This window comes from Homo sapiens, chromosome 11, assembly GCF_000001405.40.
Source record: "Homo sapiens chromosome 11, GRCh38.p14 Primary Assembly".
Lineage (NCBI taxonomy): Eukaryota > Metazoa > Chordata > Mammalia > Primates > Hominidae > Homo > Homo sapiens.
This window is the reverse complement of record NC_000011.10, coordinates 101,496,166-101,514,872: the sequence shown is the minus strand read 5'-3', so window position 1 is coordinate 101,514,872 and position 18,707 is coordinate 101,496,166. Positions and strand designations below refer to the sequence as shown.

Genomic DNA, 18,707 nt, shown 5'->3' with positions numbered 1-18,707 from the left:
GTCCCTAAGGACTCAGTTCTCAGTTTCCCTCAATTTGTCCACAGTTATTCTCAACTTGAGATCTTGAATTATATAAGCTCCAAACCCTTCAGAACAAAACCTTTTGGGGCAGCACTCCAGTCTCCGAGTTTTGAAGCTTGAATCTCCTAAATTGGAATCCTGAGTTGTTAAGGAATTACCTTAATGTTTACCTTTCTGCCCTACAGTAGAAGTGCTAAGTGCTAAACTGTGAATATCAATGGATGTTTAGCTTCTAAACCTGAGTGCTAGACCTTTAGTTAAATTGAGCCAGGAACCAGAAATCCTGTTGGGGATGGGAACTCTTATGTGTTCCAGCCATAATAAACATGTTTCAGGGTTTTTTCTGGGCTGCTGACTTAAACAACTGTGATTTTCTCTGCCTGCGGGCTGAGTCTCCTCTTCCCTCCTCTCAGCTAACTCTCCTTCATTCTTAGGCTAAGTGACATGTCCTCAGAAGGCTTTCCCTGACCTTCAGATTGGGTTGAAAACTGTTCGCTAATCATTTATATGCCACACTACTTCCTTTTTGGTAACATTCATCACCCTGTAGTCTTTTGCTTATTCTCTTTTTTTCTGCCATACCCTTATTTTTCTGTGGCTGTACCCCCAATGTGCCTAGCACAGTGCCTAGAACATGTTGAAGCTGAGGTTCAGTAAATATTTGAATTGATGAATGAATGAATGAATGAACTGTTACGATCCCGGTGGTGGTGGTGGGTGTGAGGGTTGATAATGATGTCTGAAATCATATCACATCAGCAAAGAAAAGCATTTCACAATTTTGGTTTCAATAAATGAAAGCTATGTGCTGCATGGTCCTGCCAATTTCCCTATCCATGTACTCTGTTACACATAGCAGTCACATATAGAGTGAAACCTGTACTGTGAGCATTTGGAGCTATCCCCCATTGTGGAGAGTTAGAGCATGTTCCAGACCTATTATCAAAGTCTTTCTTCAGCACCATTATCTCTGGGAATCAGCAGCTTCAGCTTGTGCTCTTCACATTTTGAATGTTTCTATGACATCAGATTATCCTTGTTCTCCCCCTCCACATAAGAGTTGTTCATCCTAAGCCTCATATGAACATCAACTTAGAATTTCTATGGATGAATCTTAGTTACAAGTTAATTTTTTAAGATAATGGACTGCATGAACTTGAATGTGGGTGTCTTTCTTGACAGCTTAAAGAAGGGAAAAATAAGCTCAGAAAGGCGTGAACTGATGATGCCGTGGTTACCCATCATCAAAAATACACTTACCATTTTTTTGGTGCATATGTTTTCATCAGTAATTTCTTTTCCTCTCTCTCTCTCTAGTAGTTTAAAATCTTTTAAAAATTATTTCAGTAGGTTTTTTTGGGAACAGGTTGTGTTTTACATGTATAAGTTCTTTAGTGATGATTTCCGAGATTTTAGTGCACCCATCACCCGAGCAAGGAGTTAATTATGGCAAAGTCAAATTATTGTATCTAGAGCATATGCTGGGTGTTGTTGGCTTGGTCATCCTGGCCTACTCTTCATGTTTTGCATACTGTTCACTGACTGTGGAATAGCACCAATGCAGACCTGTGTGGACTGCATCAATGGGCTTCTTTGTCCCCCAGCACTAGTCTGAGTTCAGCCCATCAGAGGCACTTGTGGGACATCAGAGGGCAGGAGAGTGAGGTCAGAGTATCAGTTCCCTTGGCTCTCTCCTTGATGGTGGGCTGTCACCCTTCATAAAAGGTCAGGGCCACTGTCAGGTGTCCCTTGTCTTATGGTTATCCTGTTCTGGTAACTGTTCCCTCATTATGCCCCTTCAGACTTAAGCCTACATTGTCCTAGATGTGGGCACTTCATGGTGCCATGTTGGATTTCCCTAACTTCTGCACACATACTCCTAGAGTTCCTTCATTAAGTTTTTTCAGATTGTCTTATAATTGAAGTGTGTTTTTTCCTCCCCAGAATCTATCTTATGCAGAGGAATTGGAAAATGTGCTTGTGTAATACACATGATTATGGCAGTCATTGGTAATAGAAGCAAAGAATTTAAACCTCTTCTTTGATGAGATAATTTGGATATAGTTTGCTGGTATTACAAAGAAACTTTTTAATATTCCCAAGAGTACTCTATTTTGTTCTTAAAGCTTTGTTCTTCCAAATATTTTGCGAAGTTCCCCAAAGTTTTCTCAAGTTCAGATCCCCAAGGACTCAGTTCTCAGTTTCCCTCAACTTGTCCTTAATTATTCTCACCATAAATGTCTGGCCCCAGAACTCTTCCAAAGAGCATTTCAAAGTAGGAAGACATGACACATGAAATAAATTAAACCACCAAGGAGAAACTAAAAGGGAACAATGACATGTCAGATGTTGTTTTATAAAAAGGCAAGTTCCTATAACTTCCGTTATTTACTCACAATTTCATTCTCTCACACAGTTTGAGTTCTAATTTACACAAACAAGATGTCAATTGATGATACAAATGAAATGATGATACAAATGAAATGATGACCAAAAATTTGTTACATGCACCTGAGATTTTTCAGTCACACTTTTGCTGGCTCCCAACTGAAAGTGACAAGTAGCTCAGGCTCTTACCATTTCATTCATAGAATACTAAGGCAGGGTGTGATGTAGTGTGACTGATCAAACAGAAAGTTAGTATTTGAAGAAATGAGAAGAGTTCGTGAGGAGAATTGAAACTAATTGAATCAAAATGAAGAATTGCTATCTAGAAGACTATCTGGAAGTTCAAGGGATTTGGGAGTTCACTGTGAAGATGGGTGCTCACTCTCTCACCCTCTAAACAAGAGGGAGAGAGAACAGGGTGAGAAAATATTAGTTTTGCCTTTATTTTTATTTTTATTTGTTTTGTTTTTTGAGACTGAGTCTTGCTCTGTCGCCCAGGCTGGAGTGCAGTGGCGTGATCTCGGCTCACTGCAACCTCTGCCTCCTGGATTCAAGCTATTCTCTCGCCTCAGCCTCCCAAGTAGCTGGGATTACAGGCCCCCACCACCATGCCTGGCTAATTTTTGTATTTTTTAGTAGAGACAGGGTTTCACCATGTTGGCCAGGCCGATCTCAAACTCCTGACCTCAGGTGATCCACCCACCTAGGCCTCCCAGAGTGCTGGGATTACAGGCGTGAGCCACCGCACCTGGCCCTAGTTCCATCTTTAAAGTCAAGAAAATCTCTGCTTCTGGATCATGAACAAGTCACAAGGATGCCATTAAAAACACGGCTTTCAACTTCCTTTGTCCCCTGTTGAGCTCACTACTTATTTGAAATGAATATAAAATATTATATTTACACTAGAACACACTGTGGCTCAACCTTTATATTTTGTTCCTTTTTTTCTGTGTAGGGTTGTACATTGTAGTCGTTTGCAGTCAGGTTAATAGGGAACAAACAAGCTCTAAACTTTATTCCTTTAACGGGAGGGATTAATGTATTCCAGTTATGTACTGAGAGTTTACAATGTGTCCCTCTGCAAAGAGGGGTGAATTCAGTGTGAATAAGGCAAAATCATCATTGCTCTCATAGGACTAAGGAAAACCACTTTAATTGTTTATTGCTTCCTCAACCCCAGAGGAAGAGCATAGGGTATGTGCCCAGAGATTAAGTAGTCAGGGCAAAAACAGTGTCAGTGTTGTAAAATGAGAACAAATGACTTCTTTCATTCATCTCCCTAAAGTGGTTTGCAAACTTGCTAGTTGTGTATAATGTTAATCTCTAAATATCTGAGTCTAATTATTCCCATTGATAATTGTGCATGTAATAAAATGCAAATTCTGGAATTTCTTTTATTTCTACTTTCCTAGGATGAATCTACATTACGCTTACGGCTGACTACACTGCCTGGAATAGTTACATTCCATTTACAATTTTAGAACTTCTGCTGTAATAGAATTGCGCTTTAAAATATTTGTAAGGATTTTTAAAGCACAAAGTCAAAGTTAAGCTAAGAACTTAATATGGAGCTTAGTTTGTATAAAAGCAGTTCCATGTTATAAAAGTGTATCATAGTTGAACAGGAAGTAGAGAGAATTACTACACATGCTGTGGACTCTAGCATGCAATCCACTCTACTCAGAAGCTAATTTGCATTGCTGGCATTTTCAATAGAGATGGATTATTCCATCTCTCACTATCTGGGGCAACAAATACTAAAAGGACCAGGAAAATGAGGTATGTAAAAACATGGTTTTCATGACCTAATCTACATTTGAGTGCCATAGGGGTGGTGGCTAATTACTCTTTCTTAGAACCAGTATTTATATGTTGTGATAAACACCTTGTAAAAATACAGACATGAAAATGTAGGTTACTAATCTTTTAACCATGCTAAATGTGGCTAAATGGGTGAAGAAAATTTCTTAATAAATATTTTCATAAATAGAAGAGCCGAATTTGAAAAGTGTGCCCTTTAGCTGAAATGAAAATGTCTTTTGTTGAAGTAGTGCTATGGAGCTATGGGCTGAGTTGTTCCTCTTTTTAACAGATGATTTTGCTAGGTTTCATTTGCTATTAATGTAAAATTCTACAACATAGTTTTATAAAAACCATTTGCAGAGAGGTTTGTAATATAATCTAGTAACATCTAGTATCTTTCCTGAATTGCTTTCAAATATCTGTTACTTAAAAAGTTGTTTTACACATTTTGCTTTTGCATAGGAGAGGCAGGGAGTAAGCAACACCACTTGTGACATAAAAATACAAGTAGAATCTTTTATTGCTTCTCCAGGCTGCAGTTAAGAAAGATAAGGAGAGCAGCAAAGCATGCGTTTTGTTCTGTCAACAACATACAAGCAGCTTTTACTGTGTCTTACTACTCATGCAAGGGGTGCTGAATCCATTGGGCCTGCATTTGTAATATGCCTAAAACAATAAAAATTCATTGTGCCTGCTGTTGTAATATTCCTAAAGTAATCAAAAACAAACAAAAATGTATCAGATACATTCTGACTTTTCAGATACAGAATGACCAAGTTGTAATTCTGTCACAGACTCATATATAGTTGACAGAGTGCTAAACAGATTATGATAATCTAGGCCTTTTTATAAAAATGTATCTAAAAATTATATCATTGCATATGATTAATATGTGTGGTCACAACAACTAAGACAGAAGATGCTTTAAAACTGAAAAAAAAAATTCTACGGAAATATCTTTGCTGTTCCTTCAAGAAGTTATAGGTACAAAAGCCACAGTAATTTAGAAGGAAATAAGATACATCATTATGATTAGTGGCTTGCCAAGATAGAACTTGTCATTTTTCAAATAAATGGGCAGGAAAGTCATAGATTGTTATTTTAAAATCTTAGAATAAAAGATGTCACAACTCAGACATTCTATTTAGCTCAATGTAAACTTAGTATTGGATGAAAAAATAAAATTTTGTAAACCAGATTAAAAATTGAGATACAAGTAAAGTTGCTAATTCTTATTTTTCTTTCTTTAAAAAGACAAACAAAGGGCAGGTGTGGTGGCTCATACCTGTAATCCCAGTATGTTGGGAGGCTGAGGTGGGAGGATACTTGAGCCCACGAGTTTGATACCAGCCTGGGCAATATGGCGAGACCCCATCTATAAAAAAAATACAAAAATTAACTGGGTGAGGTAGCATGTGCCTTTAGTCCCAGCTACACAGGAGGCTGAGGAAGGAGGATTGATTGAGTCTGGGAGGTTGCGGCTATAGTAAGGCAACAGAACGAGATCCTGTCTCAAAAAAAAAAGAAAAAGACAAAACAACTTACATCAATTACCATCTCAGTCCTTGCCTTTTTTTCATGGGTCTTCTTATTGCATAACAGCTGAAAAATGATGAAGTCCAAGTGTCCTTCTTATTTTTATAAGTGCTATATATGTGCTTATTATTATGGATGTGGCTGTAAAAAAATTTAAATCCAACCTAAAATGCTTTCCACATTCATAATTTCAATTACCTCTGAAAGTAGTCCTTTGAGATAGGTCAGAATAATTATTTCTCCCATTTTAATGGATGAAAAAAAATGGAGCTTGTTCTTGATGTTTTGATATGTTACTATTTTGTGTCAGTTTTGTGTCATTTTTTTAGTTACATGAGAACTTATCTTGCAAGTTCTCACTCCCAGTACTTTCATCTTACTTTTATAGATCCCTGATCCTATTTTGTTTCTCCCTTAAATTTACAGTTTTTCTTTTTCAAAGCATTCTTCATGTTTGGAAGATACTGTCTCTCCCCCTAATCTTTGAACTTCCTCTTGTCTACAATAGAAACTACGCAAAGCAATAAATACAGAAGATAAGAGAGAGGAAGTGAAAGCCTAAAGAGGTTAGTAGAAGCCAGAAAAGTGACAGAGAGAAGGGAAGAGGGTTAAGAATTTCAGTAGGAAGATGATGTTTCCTCATGTAACAAACCTTGATGATCTCCTGTCTCTTCTACCTCATCCATCTTGTTAACTCAGAAATAATGTGATTCTTCTAGAAACTCACCGTAACTCAGACATCACCTTTTGCCAAAACCAACATTAGGCTCACTCTAGTTTTTATAAGGGGAAATTATACTCTCTTAGAAAAGACATTATAAGGAATATTTCTTTAAAAAGAAGCAAAGAATATCTACTAAGAATCACTAGCTATACGAGGAAAAATTCTACTATGAAATACAGAGACCAAAGCAAACAAACATAAAAAAGCAACTCAGGAGTAAGTTCTCTAAATTGTGATGTGTGCAATCTTTAACATCCCCAGAGAGAGAAGAAAAAATGTTTGTGCCTTTAAAAGCAGAAAAGTCTTATAAAAAGTAACATTTGAAAATAAAGGGTGTTTTTGAAAATTAAAAATATAATAGCAATTTTCATAGATATAATCTAAAGTTGAAGAAATTTCCCAGAATATAATAAATAATATTGAACATAAATAATTGGAAATAGAAAAGATAAGAAAATTAAAGGACAATTACAGGATGTCCAACATCAAAAAGAAGGAGTTCCAGAAATGGTACATTGAAAGCAGAAAACAAAATGATCAGATAAATAGGGCAAGACTATTTCTAAGAAAAGGACACTTTTTATTCCAGATTAAATGGGCAGCACTGTGGAGAAGAGACTCCCTTCAATAAACAACCATGTAATTTTAGGACACCAGAGACAAAGACAATATCCAGAATCAAAATTGCATCATGCTTCTCAATAGTAGCCACAAAACTATAATTTATTAGAGCAAGGCCTCCAAAATTATCCTCAACCTTGAATTCTCTACCCAGCCAAACTATCAGTTAAGTTTAGAGGTAGGACAAAGTCAGTTTTAGATGTACACGTTCTTTAAAAATTCACCTATGCATGCTTTATTAGACAGCTGTTGGAAGATGTGCTGTACTAGAACAAAGAAGTCAACTCAGATAAAAGAAGATCTGGGATACAGAAAACAAGGACCCCAATACAAAAGCAAAGTGAAGAGAATCCTTGGAATGATACCAAAGGAAGATTCAAAGAGAACATACATGCATCAAGTCTAGACAGCAACTGCTGTCTAGATTTTCCAAAATTGAAAAAAAAAAATACCCACTTAATATGTAGAATGTATTAAAATAAGACTTATATTGATGGAGAAGAGAGTTTGATTGAATTAGTCATATGTATATAGAGCACTGAGAAAATGAAGAGAATTTTTATCTATTAGGTTTAAGGTTATAGGGAAGCTGTACCTGAAAAGACACTATAGTATACCACTTAGCTATGATTAGCACTTGCATTGTCATGTTTTAAACAGTAAATAGTTATCTAAAAAAAAGTCATGATATAACAATTCTGGAATGATAAGGGACCATGAAGGGGGTCTGTGTGTGTGTGTGTGTGTGTGTGTGTGTGTGTGTGTGTGTGTGTTAGAGAGAGAGAGAGATACGTGAAGGTATGGTGTAATGGGAAGTCCATAGGTAATGCCAAACCTGAAAAATCAAGAAGTAACAATATAACCAAAGCTATGTGGTTATAACATTTAAAATTATAAAATAACCAGCTAAAATAGTTAAATTGAAATGTATCACCTCTGGAGATCAAGACATAGAATAAACTAAAATATGCACATGTATAACTTTACTAAAATTAAAAATGGAATTAAAAACAAAGTAATAGCTATGGGACAAAATAGTTACAGATGCTATTCTCTTATAATAAAAGTTGCATATGTATTATCTAATGACCCATTTTAGAAATTATTAGGTTGTATAACTTGATATCGGCCCTTCATGTCATTTTCGAAACTTACAAAGTTGTCTCTTTGAAAAAAACATCAGTTTGGTTGATTTTGAATAGGACTTGGATAGTTAAAGGAATCACTGTTGAATGAAAATCTATGAAAAATATTTGTCAATATGGTGGTATACTCTTCAAGCTCCTCCAAGAAGCAAAATCTGTTTGTGAGTTGCTGAAACTTTACTATCTTCCTTTCTATTCCTGTCCATCACACTGCCACAGACAGCACTGTCTGGAGATGTGGAATCAAGACTGATAAAGGCCAGTAGGGAAAGCAACTAAGATTCTCCAGACCTGAACATATTGGAGGGAAAGATAGCTTATGAGGCCCTTGGATCTTTTTATTGTCCTCTTTATACTGGGAAGTTTGTGACCGTTTTTAAAGAGGGATGCCTCTTTAGCCTCCCCTATAACCTGGCCCTGTTCCAGTTCTGCAAAAACATGCCTTCTTTGGGTTCAGTTAGTGATACTGGTAAGAGTTGAACCTCTAATTGTAATGAGATCCCTTGAAGCTCAAAAGACCTTAAGACACGAAGTTATGAATTAATAACGAAAAAATCTTCATTATAGCATTTTGATCAGAGGAAGAATCACAGCCCCCTTCCTTTTTTTTTTTTTTTTTCTTTGATATAGGATCTTGTTCTATCACCCAGGCTGGAGTGCAGAGGCATAGTCATGGCTCTCTGCAGCCTTGATCTCCTGGGTTCAATTGATACTCTACCTCAGCCTCCTGAGTAGCTGGGACTACAGGCATGTGCCACCATGCACCACTAATTTTTCTATTATTTGCAGAGATGGGGTTTTGCCATGTTGTCCAAGCTAGTCTTGACTTCCTGGGCAAGTGATTCGCCCACCTTGGCCCTGCAAGGTCCTGGGATTATAGGCGTGAGCCATAGCACCCGGCTCACTTTCCCTTCTTATCACAGATTGAAGGACTACGTTGAAGGCTGGCCACTGCTCTGACCACTGCCTGCACCATAGAAGTGTTTTTTCCTACCTGACAACTTGATTATAATTTTCTCCAGTCTGCAGTGATTTTTAGGACAGCAGAGTTCAAGCATTTATTGCCCATATTAATGAAACCTATACTCTAACATCTAGCCGATACCTCTGCTAGAGAAAACTTTCTACCTATACCTAACCCCTGTCTCACCCTCCTGAAGTACACTCTCACCTGACTTCTACTTATCCTTCCATTTTCAGCTTGTCATTTTCTCTCAGAATCTGGGATAGATGCCCCATTATAGGCTTATCATTATAATTAAGCAGCTGATAACAAAGCAGTATGCTGATTGCCCATCTCTCTCTTTGGTCTATAAGACTTGTAGAGGCAGGAAAAAGCATCTATTTGTTTTTTCACTATTGGCCTTCTTGGACCGAATATAGTTCCTAGACCTGGCATCAGAGGGACTCAATAAATATTTGTTAACTTGAGTGGATTTGCTATTGTCTCTACTTCTTAAAATGTAGTCTTATATTCTCTATCACATTGTGACTGCATATGGATAAGAGGGTATGGATATAGACATCTTTCCTAAGTCTATACCATCTATATAGTACATTAGTTTCTATCTGAATGGCACAGAGTAATTATGGCAATTGCTAGTCTCCACCCCAAATGGGAATGTTAAAATCTGCAAAGTGCTTGGCTTTCTTAGACGTGAAGTTCTTGGAATCCATTAACAAATAAATGCATCTTCATTTTATAATATAGTAGGTCTAGAGATGATGAGACAACATCTAATATACTTGAGGATTGTATTAGATGAATGGCAAGTCATTTGGCACACTAAAATGCTCTTAATGTGATTTGTTTACAATCTTTCTGTTTTATTGCAGCCGGGGATCTGACAACAGACTGGCTCACCGGCGGCAGACAGTTCTCCGTGAGAAGGGGAGAAGGTTAGCTAATCGAGGACCAGCATACATGTTTAGTGATCGCTCCACAAGCCTATCTATAGAGGAGGAACGCTTTTTGGATGCAGCTGAATATGGTAACATCCCAGTGGTGCGGAAGATGTTAGAAGAATGCCACTCACTCAACGTTAACTGTGTGGATTACATGGGCCAGAATGCCCTACAGTTGGCAGTGGCCAATGAGCATCTGGAAATTACAGAACTTCTTCTCAAGAAAGAAAACCTCTCTCGAGTTGGGGATGCTTTGCTTCTAGCTATTAGTAAAGGTTATGTTCGGATTGTGGAAGCAATTCTCAGTCATCCGGCTTTTGCTGAAGGCAAGAGGTTAGCAACCAGCCCTAGCCAGTCTGAACTCCAGCAAGATGATTTTTATGCCTATGATGAAGATGGGACACGGTTCTCCCATGATGTGACTCCAATCATTCTGGCTGCCCACTGCCAGGAATATGAAATTGTGCATACCCTCCTGCGGAAGGGTGCTAGGATTGAACGGCCTCATGATTATTTCTGCAAGTGCAATGACTGCAACCAGAAACAGAAGCATGACTCGTTTAGCCACTCCAGATCTAGGATTAATGCCTATAAAGGCCTGGCAAGTCCGGCTTACCTGTCATTGTCTAGTGAAGATCCAGTCATGACGGCTTTAGAACTTAGCAATGAACTGGCAGTTCTGGCCAATATTGAGAAAGAGTTCAAGGTAGGTCACTAACAATAGAGACTTCACCCTCCACAAGCCAGAGTCAAGGTGTATTTACCAGCTTCCCCCATGTGCTCAGCACTGTGCTAGTTACTGTGGACACTAGGTCATTTTATAAGTTTATTCAACAAGCTCTTTATTATAATCATTGTAGCAAAAGTTGTGATCGCTACCATTTAGTGATGCTCTACTGTCTGCCAGACATTTTGCATTTATTATATCTAATCTTTATCCGTTCCCCTTGAGAAGCTATTATTAGTTCCTGTCTAGATGGGTAAATGAAGGCATAGAAAGTTTCGCTAATGCCCAATATCAACAAATGGGAAATAACACAGCTGGGTTCAGAATCCAGGTATACTGCACTCTGAAAAGCCCAGGCTTTTTCCTCCCACGAAACACTATTTCCATGTTCAGAGCACAGTGATAGATGCTGTTGAGGTCAGAAAGAAGAATAAGCTTAAGGAAGTCACAGTTGACTAGAGAGACAAATGCACACATGAATAAAAAATAAACAAAACTACCAGGTAGAGGTAAAAGCAACATACTGTAGAAGTTCAGAGAAAACAATATTTAATTCCTGTTAGGCTGCAGGGAAGTATGTGTAAGATGGCATTTCAGCTGTATATGGTGGAACAAGTAGGATTTTGGAAGGCAGAGAATGAGGGAAAAGATATTTTAGGCCAAGGTGTACCAGCAAAAACAAAACATGATAGATATGAAATAGTAGGAAATTAGAACTTTGACCAGTCAATCTCTTAATAAGAGGTATCTGGAGAGATAAATGGTGTCAGATGCTGCCATTAACCATAAGGGCTGTGCTCCACGTGGAGAGGATGAAAGCTTGCATCCCTAGCTAAGATCTTCCCCACAGGTATCTCTAAACTCCCTCTACCTGTTTGAGGTAGTTCTGATCCTCTAATGCCCATCACCTTTTACCATGGATTATTGTTATTTATGATGCACTTATCTCCTTTACTAAATAATGCAGGTTGGAAACAGGTTTGATTCATCAAGTACAATGTTTTACAGAAGTGAATATTGGTTTCATTTTTTTTCTATATGCTGAGAGAATGCTTGTTTCTATACTCTTTTCTTGAGGGATTACAGCCCAGTCTTTCCTGGGCAGCTTCTTGGTGCCACTGTCACTGATGTTTCACCCCAGTATCAGATGTCATGTGTCTATCTATCCTCAGGTCCAGTCTATCCAGAAAGGCTAGAAGGAGGAAAATGGTTACTGAAACGCTCAGTATGTGCTTGGCTCCCAAGGTAGAGGAAGGTGCTTTTCCTCCAGCTACCTGGCAGCTAACAGGGCAAGACAAGTAAATGGTCCTTCTAACCCTGTCTCAGATTCTTACCTACTTTTCGCTTGACTCCTAGGACACAGAGACTTTCACCTGATTCAAATTAAAGCATTTTGAACTCTGATTAATATTAATTATTTTCAAAATCTATATTACTAATTTTGCCTAATTTCAACATTTCTGTTTCCTTTACTGTATCCTTGTTTACATGCTTTCTCTAAACCACTGAAGACTATTATATTCTTTATTTGTTCATTAATTCACTGGCCTACATCTTTGGAGTCCCTGCTCTTTTTTACTGGGGACAGTTGAGGATGAGGATGGCGAGGTAGTACAAAATACAAAGACAATTCAGTCAGCAATCCTGTCCTCAATTGGTTTATAATCCAATGTGATAGAAAAGATCTGTGTGTAGTAACTATCATATTAGGCATGACCTTATGGAGTGAGGAGGGGGCTAGTGGCTGAAAGGTGGGAAGAATCACATTTAACCAGGATGTAAATTCTTCATGGTCCCTAAATGCATTGCAAAATGTTGAGGCCTCCACACGATGATGAAGACGTAAAGATCTGGACATTCTTCTGTTTGTTCATCACACCCTTCTTTCTGCTGTCATCAGTGTGAAGTGTATGGATTAGCCACTTTCCGCCCATTTGTGCTTCCCTATTTGCTCCATTGTCTTGAGCAGTTACCTAGAGCCTCTGGACATGCATACCTTTTTGCTAATGCCCTGCCTCTATGAAGGTTTCAAGGCAAAGAAAGGATAAATCTAACTGAAAACATAAATGTATTTAGGAGTATGTTACTAATGTCTTTTAAAAATCACTTTCAAAAATTAGATTACTGTTAAACAAGAGTAGCAGTTTAAAAAATGCTTTTATAAAGTATATCCTAGAACTTGACAATTTTTATAATTAGAAACCTAACTCAAAATTACTGCACAAGGAGAAAGGGCAGTTACTGGCTTGATTTTTAAGGCCTTTTTACAAAAACAAACCAGAAAAGATTTCTTCCTTGCCAGGTATCAAGCATTAAAACAAATATTCTTTTTCTCTGAGATTAGTTTGGACAGCAGATGAAAGAACTGCCATACAAGGGTGAGCCTCCCTTGCCTTTGTGTGTAAACTCACAGGGAAATAACATTCCCCCACCACCCATGGCTACTGGGACACTAACTCTTGTCCCAGCATCCCAGTCTCAGTTTACAGCAGAGTGGGACCTTACAGGAATAGAGAAGTTGGTGTCTCTGAGGTGAGGTTTGCTGCTGAGTTTGCTGCTTCTACCCTTAAAAATAACTTCTTTTTTCTTACTTTAAAGTAATATATAGCCATGTTAGAAAAAAATAATATAAAAATGAAGGAAGTTTAAAAAATCATTCCTAATTTTAGCCATCAAGAAATAAACACTGATACACTACCAACATGCTAGCACATATCCTTTCAGTCTTTTTTTTTAAAATCTTTTTAAATAGTCAACTCCCTTAGAGTCTCAGGAAATAAAAGTCACTGAGGGCTGGATAGCTTAGGCCTGGTCAGCCTCACAGGGACCTGAGAGATTGTATTGGCCACAGGAGATCCTCCCTGTTCATGGTATGTATGTATGTATGTATGTATGTATGTATGTATGTATGTATGTATGTATTTTGCTCCCTTTCCATCTGAAAGATGTTTGAAAAACTGTGTTCATTCACACAGTTTAAAATTGATACCTATTTTTTGTCTTCTGTGAGTATAAATATTTTTAAGGGATATGATTTCTGCATGGTGTACATATTGCCATTTAAGAATAGAACTCTTCAATTCTCCTTCAGATATATGCAAAGGACTCTAAATGCTGTAATGATTTCATGCCCACCATCAACTAAGCGAACAACATCTTCTTTAATGTTCAGAATAGCTGCATCTTTCCTTTTACTCCTTGAGGTTATATTTTCAGTCCAATTTCCTTCATAAATGTGATTCCTCATATTATAGCTTTTATTATTGTAAAGTCTCTTAAAATCCCTTTATATAGATATCAACATGTATATCATATATAAATAAAATACATATAACACACACATATATATGAAATTTTAGAATTTGTTTCATTTCCTCTTGCTAAAAGGCTCTGGATATTGAAAATACTCTGGAAAGAGTTGTCTTTATATCTATTATTAGTATATTAGATCAAAAACTACAAAAATCAACCCAGCTGTTAAAAATAATTAATATGGGCCGAGAATGGTGGCTCACACCTGGAATCCCTGCACTTTGGGAGGCCGAGGTGGGTGGATCATGAGGTCAGGAGTTTGAGACCAGTCTGACCAACATGGTGAAACCTGTCTCTACTAAAAATACAAAAAAATTAGCTGGGCATGATGGCACACACCTGTAATCCCAGCTACGCAGGAGGCTGAGGCAGGATAATCACTTGAACCTGGGAGGCGGAGGTTGCAGCGAACTGAGATTGCGCCACCGCACTCCAGTCTGGGCAACAGAACAAGACTCCGTCTCAAAAAAAAAAAAGAAAGAAAAAAAATACACATTTTGAAAAATAAATTTTAACTATGTGACACAATTCTTATTGGATGTATTTTTTAGTGGTACTCATCATGTTCACACTTTGGCTATATATTTAAGGAAAGAAAAATTGTGTGTGTGTATATATATATATACACACACACATATTTTATATTGTATATATATACACATTTTATATTGCGTATATATATACACATTTTATACTGTGTATACATATATACACATTTTATACTGTGTATATATATACACATTTTATACTGTGTATATATATACACATTTTATACTGTGTATATATATACACATTTTATACTGTGTATATATATACACATTTTATACTGTGTATATATATATACACATTTTATACTGTGTATATATATATACACATTTTATACTGTGTATATATATATACACATTTTATACTGTGTATATATATATATACACATTATATATTGTGTATATATATATACACATATACACAATATAAAATGTGTATATATATATACACATTTTATATTGTGTATATATATATACACATTTTATATTGTGTATATATATATATACACATTTTATATTGTGTGTGTATATATATATACCATATATACGTATATATATACGTATATATACACCATTTATGTATATATATGTAGCTAAAAATTAGTTGGTATGGCAGCCAGTATGTTATTTTAGTCTTTGTTGATAGGATATATAAATTATTAAAGGTTTTATGGAATAAAATTAAAAAAGGATAAATAGTAGTAGGAATAAATATTTCTAGATATGATTTGATAACTATCTTACTAGATTAAAATTCTAAATCAGAAAGAAATCACATAAAATTTCATCCATGGGCTTTGACCATTTTCCTGTAAAAATTTTGAGTTCTGCAAACCATTCCAAGTCACATTTAAAAGAATCACTCTCACTAAGCTTTTCTGCCTTGCCTGTTTGAGATACTTTTCTAGTGAATGATACATCTGAAAGATATTAAGAATAATATAAGGAATCATTTACATTTCAATACATGACAAAGCATTGTTTGGTATTCAGTATTCCCTGCTGATGCTGTCTTTGCTTAACTTTTTCTGGACTCTCACTCAAGAAGCGTTCATTCTTTGACAATTGTTGGCAAATGAAGAGGCAAAGTCATAAAAAATGGCCCTTGTTTCTGTCTCCACCCTGCACTGTCCATCTGAAATCAGAACATCCCAACATGAGCCAAGGTGCTGCATTTCTATCATTAAGCTTCATCTTCAGCAGAAATGTGTATTTATTCAGGGAAGCCCTTCAGGGTTTATAGTAGCTGGATACTGTAAAAGGGGGACTCTCTGTTGTTTAAAGGGGGACTCTCTCTTGCTTGCTACATGGGTGGGTGGGCGAGCAAAAGATGTATTTTCAAGGAAATCCATTTTAGGAAAGTGGAGATCTGCAAATTGATTCCCTAAAAATTATCCATATTCTACAGCCACTTGGAAAGTATTAATGTACCTCTGTTTGAAGACGATTAATCTATTTTATGACAGAGAATGGGACTTTTCATAACGATTTTGTAAGCTCCAATACATAGCTTGCTTTTCTAAGCACCTTCCAAACTGTCCCCTACTACAATAACCCATAGTACATTAACAAAAGAGACCATGGGAGACGTTACTGGGTTTCTGAGGCAGTTTTATCCTGTGCCTTGAACCTTCTAGGCCTAAGTGTTTTGTTACTCATATCACCACATGTATAGCTGGTTCCAAGCAGAGGTGACACGAGACCTCAGCAGAGAAATCTAACAATTAGATGGAGCCACAGGAACAAGAAGAAAACCAAGAGATGTTGGGGAGTTGCAGGTTTTTAAAGAAAATGGGAGAAAACATTAATACAATTTTTACCCATTCAAATTCAGTTTTTATATTGAATCTTTATAAATAGTTTTAGGCTTTGGTAGCATGAGACCTCAGCCATCTTAAGCTTAAAATTGGGTTAAGACAATTTTGGCAACACAAAGTCAGTAAAAAACAGAAAACCCAAAACTTTGACTGGTTTTGATACCAAAGAAGGACAGCAAAAACTCTTGCTTTCTCTCCTTGACTTGAGTTTTAATTCAAATAAGGGACAACAGACTTAAAGACAAGGAGATCAATACCAGGGATGGTCTTGTCCACAAACACATTCCCCAGCATTCTTAATTTCATTTTAGTTCTCAATATGTGCCCAGGACTTATGTCTCTAATTCCCTCTTTTTTTGAACCTATTTACCTTTTAGGTTGTTTGTAGTAACACACAATGTTTCTTTTTATTCCTCTTAAAAATCCCCTCTTTTGGGAACATCACACACCGGGGCCTGTCAGGGGGTGGGGGGCAATGGGAGGGAGAGCATTAGGACAAATAATGCATGCAGGGCTTAAAACCTAGATGACAGGTGGACAGGTGCAGCAAACCACCATAGCACATGTATACCTATGTAATAAACCAACATGTTCTGCAAATGTATCCCAGAACTTAAAATAAAAAATAAAGGAAAAAAAATCCCCTCTTTTATATAGCAGGAATTGTCCTCTTCTCTGTCATTCTGGATAGAGAGTTTTTCTGGAGGTCTTCCAGCTCCTTTACATCTTCCTAGAGGTCTGCTCATGCATGTGCACATGGCCCTCCAGATGCCTCTGCTGCTGACACTGAGAAAGAGGAAGGGTAGAGAAACTCCCGCCGTGTCTGTTTTTAGACCGTTGCTATGTTCTAGTGTATAATATTCAAAAAATGCTTGGCATTGTTTCAAAGATAACTATCCTCCAAGAAAATGGCTGCTTTGAAAAGTACTTTTCGTTGGGACAAAGGTGGTGTGACTGTTATCAGACCTTAACAGGGTGACAAAGGGTGTCACAAGCAAAATAGTCTGCGAGGCAGAATCACAGCTCCAGAAGAACAGGACTTGGATCCTGACCAAAGAGGAAGAAGAAAGTGTACCTTAGCTGAGCTTTATGAATTATTCTGTTATTTACAGTCTATGCTATAGCAGAATTTAAGTTGTCCATAATGACGTGAAATTAGGAGAAGGCCAGCAAATGAAATAACCTTTTCAAGATCATATAGTTATATAAGTGGCAGGGCAGAAATTCAAATCCAGGTATGCTTTCTACTCAGCTATGTTCCTTTCTTTACATCGGTTAGCAAAATGTGTTGATTACCTACTACGTACCTCACACCATGCTAGGTTGGGAGGATTCAAAGACGACTAAGATATAATCCTTGTCTTGAAGGATATTGAGTCTATTCAAGAGAGGCAGAAACATAAACAAATAAATGCAGTAAGTGATATGGGGGTATGTGTATGTGTGTTCTTGCCTTTGAATATCCTATTGTAGTTTGAAACAGATGGGCAGAGAAAATCTCATTCTCACAGGACTGTAGGTCTATGACAAGTCAACAGTTAGGGAGGGAGTTAAGTGCAACAGTTTGATTGATGAGCAACCCCAGCCCCTGAAACAATCTGTTTACCTTCATCGCCGCTCTCCAAGCTTCGTAGCTTCAATGGGACCTGAAAATTCTTGTGCAAAGGGAAGAGTAAAAGCTAACCAGACATTATACTAAGTGTATATAACCAAACACTATATTAACTAAGCAGCCACTGCTGATGGCAACAATCAATAGAAAAAGGCTGACATATCTAGGAAAATGTTTTTCTTCAATTCTTGTTTTGAAATTGTATTCCATTTCTTTTTACCTTTTCTATAGAATAGTGCCGATTAACTTTTATATCCTCACAACCCCACATAGTAGATGCTTTATAAATGCTTGTTAATCATCACCATAGAGCTCCATGATCAGTGTGCCATCTGGTGACAATTATCCTGAGGAGCAGAAGAGCCCCAGAGTTACACTTGGTCCCAAGAAGCATGGTTGGCCAATGCAACACTGTATATATCATAGTATAATACACTTTTCTTACTGATATGGTTTGGATTTGTGTCCCTGCCCAAATCTCTTGTTGAATTGGAGGAGGGGCCTGGTAGGAGATGACTGCATCGTGGGGATGGATTTTCCTCTTGCTGTTC

The 18,707-nt window shown here is 37.2% G+C and overlaps 1 protein-coding gene across 6 annotated transcripts in view, besides 1 other annotated feature; it reads left to right on the top strand.

Annotated features, from left to right (window-relative positions):
• The window catches only part of TRPC6 (transient receptor potential cation channel subfamily C member 6), a 132,444-nt gene that overhangs the window by 69,135 nt on the left and 44,602 nt on the right, over nt 1-18,707 (top strand). For 5 of the 6 annotated variants that reach the window (XM_047427509.1, NM_001439335.1, NM_004621.6 and 2 more), the window contains exon 2: nt 10,075-10,849. In XM_047427509.1, coding sequence (XP_047283465.1) covers nt 10,163-10,849 — 687 coding nt within the window. In that variant the 5' untranslated portion in view covers nt 10,075-10,162. Of the gene's footprint in view, nt 1-3,990; nt 4,189-10,074; nt 10,850-18,707 lie in introns of those variants that run through there. The other variant, XM_011542968.4, reaches the window with a different exon arrangement.
• Nucleotides 216-741: an enhancer, noted in NCBI's record as "NANOG hESC enhancer chr11:101384863-101385388 (GRCh37/hg19 assembly coordinates)". NCBI's record gives its function as "activates a minimal SCP1, AML or CMV promoter by ChIP-STARR-seq in primed H9 embryonic stem cells {active_cell/tissue: H9 hESC(primed)}" and the evidence as "EXISTENCE:reporter gene assay evidence [ECO:0000049][PMID:30033119]".